This window comes from Homo sapiens, chromosome 5 (assembly GCF_000001405.40).
Source record: "Homo sapiens chromosome 5, GRCh38.p14 Primary Assembly".
NCBI lineage: Eukaryota > Metazoa > Chordata > Mammalia > Primates > Hominidae > Homo > Homo sapiens.
Genome location: NC_000005.10, coordinates 29,262,208 through 29,267,226, shown reverse-complemented (window position 1 = coordinate 29,267,226; position 5,019 = coordinate 29,262,208).

Below are 5,019 nucleotides of genomic sequence, written 5' to 3'. Positions count from 1 at the left end.
ACTGTTCCTGTGGCAGGGAACAAGTCTTAAGAGTTCTGGGCCAGGCGCGGTGGCTCACGCCTGTAATCCCAGCACTTTGGGAGGCTGAGGCGGGCGGATCACAAGGTCAGGAGATCGAGATCATCCTGGCTAACACAGTGAAACCCCATCTCTACTAAAAAATACAAAAAATTAGCCAGACATGGTGGCGGGCGCCTGTAGTCCCAGCTACTCCGGAGGCTGAGGCATGAGAATGGCGTGAACCCGCGAAGTGGAGCTGGCAGTGAGCAGAGATCGCGCTACTGCACTCCAGCCTGGGCAACAGAGTGAGACTCTGTCTCAAAAAAAAAAAAAAAAAAAAAAAAAAAAAAAAAAAAAACCAGAGTTTGAATGGTTTTATAAATGGGAGTTTCCCTGCACAATCTCTCATACCTGTTGCCATGTAAGATGTACCTTTGCTTCTCCTGTGCCTTCTGCCATGATTGTGAGGCCTTCCCAGCTATGTGGAACTGTGAATCCATTTAACCTCTTTTCTTTACAAATTACCCAGTCTCGGTTATATCTTTATTAGCAGCATGAGAATGGACTAATACAGATAGGAAGTGTTATTTGGTATCTTTTGGAAACCGTGAATACTACTGGGGAAAGGTGAAGAAGCATATAGTAAGAAACACTGGTGCTCTGGAAGATAGTATAAATAATAAAGTAAATAATTTTAAAGCAACTAAAAGGAAACCCATAGAATTTTCTCAACACACTTTGAATACTATGTAATATCACTTGCTTTTCAATTTGGAATTTAAAACCCCAAATATTATTGAGTCCTTGCTGTACTTATAATTTAATTATTTTCAATTTTCATAAATACACATTGGGAATAGCTGTATATTTGGCAGACATTAAAGATACAAAAATGTAAAAGACACATGAACTATTCTCAAGATGCCTGTAATGGAAAAAGTGAACACATAATACAATTAGGTTGTTTCTGAAAAGTTTCATATAGGTGATCGAATCTGAAAAGTATGTATGTAATAATGAGAATATGTGATATGAGATAGCTTTAAAAATATTCTGTAGATGAATGTGCATGGTTTGTTTAAATATAATTTTCATAAATTTGTTTAGCTGAAATTCAGTTTCCACGTTGTTTATACATACTAAAATATTACACACCTAGAAATGCAAATAAATTATTGGTAAATGCTATGGTATGTCCCTCCCAAATTCATATGTTGAAACCTAATCACCATTATGTAATTAGGTGAGGGAGCCTATGGGACATGATTACATCATGAGGGCAGAGCCTTGGAGAAGAGTATTATGCCTTTATAATTGATGCCTGAGGAAGTTTGTTTGCCCTTTTTACCACCCAAGGACACAGCAAGAAGGTGTCATTTATGAAACAGAACGTGAGCATTCCCCAAACACCAAATTTGCTGGTGCCTCGATGTTGGACTTTTGAGCCTCCATAACTGGTGAGTAAGAAATTTCTATTTTGTATAAGCAGCCCAGTCTGGGGTATTTCATTATAGCATCCGCAGAAGGACTAAGACCTGCAGTTATAGATACAGTTGGCCTTCCGTATCCATGAGTTTCACATCTGTTGATTCAAACAACCAAGGATGGAAAACAGTAGATAGGTAGGGCCACTGTGTGTATTTTCCATCTGTGGTTGGTGGAATCCACAGATTTGGATCCTGTGGATACAGAGGGTGGATTATGTGACACCATTTTATATAATAGACTTGTGCATCCTCAGATTTTTCTCTCAGCAGGAGGTCCTGAAACCAATCCCCTGCAAACACCAAAGGGCCAACTGTGTATTACTTGAAAACTTCTATTTGGAACACTTCCATTCAATCAATTAAATAGAATTCTATAACATTTTTTCTTCTCCTCAGTCTCAATATTTATCTCCAATATGTGGCAGGTGAATCTACACCTGAACAGAAGTAGCTTGGCAATTTTTTGAATAGTCTTCCTACTGAGAAATAATGAGGAGACTATTCATCAAATATTACCCAGAGGTAACTCAGAAAAAGTTTTACCTTGTATAAAACCTCTCTTTCTAGGATTCCAATAGTGTATATTAGATGAATGATGCTTATTTTCTAAGTCATCAATTTTTTATGATATTATTATTCAATTTTCTTCTGAATAGTACTTCCATCCTACATTTCACTACTATTATTGTCAGCTATAACTTCTTAATTTCTTCAGAGTTAGGCATGATGCCGGAAATTGCCATAGATTTTTGTACTGCTTCTAAAAGCATAACATGAAATTCTTGTATTTCCTTTCACAGTTTCTTTAAAATGATAAATAAACTTACAAGTACCTCTGTAGAGGGTATCCTATAAGATTTACTTTATTTTTTAGAGCTTATTCTTTTACTTTATAAGGTTCTATGTAGATGAGTGCCCTTGAAAGAAATTAAAGCAAAGATAACTGCATTGCTAGAATATACACAAGATAAAAATATACTGATACTTCCTAATTTGTTATAAATGTAGTTTTTCCAATGATACTGAAGTGGTCAATAATAAAACTTCATGGGTGCTGTGTATGTCAAATTTGCATTGAATGTGCTTATATTTTTCAGAGGTGATCTTTTTATAATATTCAATAGCATTTGTGATCTACATAAATAAATAAAATATTAATTATTGTTGAATTATTATATTGAACCATTTTTTCAAGACTGTATTTATTGTTTCCATCCTATGTCTATCTTTCTCAAATTTCTGAAATGTAGGCTATATGTATTATATAGCTATAATCACAGTAATGCAACATACCAAGCCATGCTGAAACTTTATTGACATACAACAATTAGGGTTTCTTTAGGTCATCTTTGTGCCTGGTCTAGATTCACTCAGGACTGCTTCATATAGGCCGGACTCATTCATCATCTATGAATTGGCAGGTGCTTGGCTGGCCTAGGCTGGCCTCTGTGATTCAGCTGTTCTGGTGTGGCTCCGCTTCATTTGTCTAAATCTTCTCAATCGGATCAGAGAGATAATATGGAGATATTCCTTTCATGGTGGCGGCAGAGGTGAGAAAGAACATACAGAAAAAATACACTACCTCCTAAACTTGGCTCAGAAGCAGCCTGTTAACACACACATTCATGTTATTCAACTGACCTAAGCAAATTACAAGACAAAACCCACATCCAAGGAGTGGAATATATGTAGTCCTTCCACACTCCCACCCTTTACTGGAAGGAACTGCAAAGTTGCATGCCAATGGCATGAACCCAGAGAAGGCTGAGCAATCAGGTCACTAGGGTGCTCAATGACAACATTAGTTTCTGGCAATCTGCATTGTAAATATATTTAAATTTCTTTTTAAATACAAGGAAAAATATTTTAACATGTAATTAACTAGATTCTCTAATTAAAATTTTGATAGTGACTTAAGTGGATAAGTTTTAGTTTTCAGGAATATGATTGGAAACAGTTTTAGTATTTGTTTTGTAGTTGGATAATTTTAACTGGACATACTGTGTAAGAATTTCTATTTTAAGCCTTACATTTCATAGTTTTTTTAGAAATGTATAATGTACTGAAGCAAATATTGGAAATTATGAATGAAAGATTAAAAATTTAGTAATAATTATAGTGTAATTTGACAAATATAGTATTTCTGCTCTGAATTAAAATTAATACTTTATTTAAATTATTAACAGATAAACTTGTGTATCTCACTGTAACATTTTAACAGAACTTAAAATTGTATTTACAGGATAAGTATTAAGGCTTTAGTAAAACAAGTATGGAAGACACTATCTATACACTACACGCCAATCTTTTGCTGGATCTTAGGAACTTAACTCATTTTCAGTCGGCTTAGTTATGGTTTTTATTATCAATATGACCAGGGAAATCAGCAACTTCAGTCCTTATTTCAATTGAAATCTATAGTAAAGTGAGTTTATATAAAAGATTCCCTGGTGAAACTACAGATACAAAAAAATGGCTTGAGAGAAAATTCCACCTCTCATGTTTTCTAGATAATGTTTTTTTAGATCTGATACTTTCTGTACTTAAGCAATTCCTGATTAGCCATGTCCAGAAATAACACTAAATTTTCAAAATCTCAGAGTATGATATCTTCTGGAGTTATTTTGCTGTTGTCTCAATTTCACGTCTTGCAAGTTGTCACTCCATGTACATGAAATCAGACAAGCTATCTCAGCAAAGACTTTAGACATTATTAAAGAATACTGCCATCCACAGCATTTCTTTCTTTCTTTTTTTAATTTAATCTTTCCAGTCAAGAGTAGAAGCACTAGCTTAAGGCATTCAGGGTGAACTACTTTAATGATGTAACTTTACCCTGAGAATGATTCAAGGCAGTACTATTTGAAATACACTTTGATTTGCGTCAGAGAAAGAGAAGAGAGGTCAAGGGATTGCCCCATACCTAGGTGGCCACCAAAAAATATATTTACTGCAGATTCAAGTTATTTAGGTTGTTCGGCACTCATACAAACTCTAAATAATACACACAAAGAAAACAAAGCTCTGAGGACTACTACATGGTGCAGAAAGGCTTAATGACCTCTCAACAGACTCTTAAAAACACAGATGTGTGAGTGGTGATTTAGACTCAAACCATATGAAGAACAGAAAATAATATCAGAGGGAGACTTAGAACATGCATTTTCCCAGGGGTTAGTGATCCAATTACCATTAAAGCTCTGTGGAAAGGGACTTTCACTTATCTCTAGACAGTGTAATTTGAAATGCCCATTTCAGTTCACTTCATCACATTTATAATATTCCAGAAACATTGCCTTGTTTATGGCCTCTCATGTGATGCCATTCAGGATACTATAAAAAGGTTGAAAGCATAAAAATACAGTGCAGCATATTCACTAAAGCTGAAAGACAAAAGAAAGCAGCATATAAAAGCTTATTCTATTAATTTGGCTCTTGAATATATCTTTATTTTCTGGGAATATGTTATAGAATGCAGCTTATTCTAAGCTACACTGTGTTGTAGCACGATAGGTAAATCACCCTCATCCCC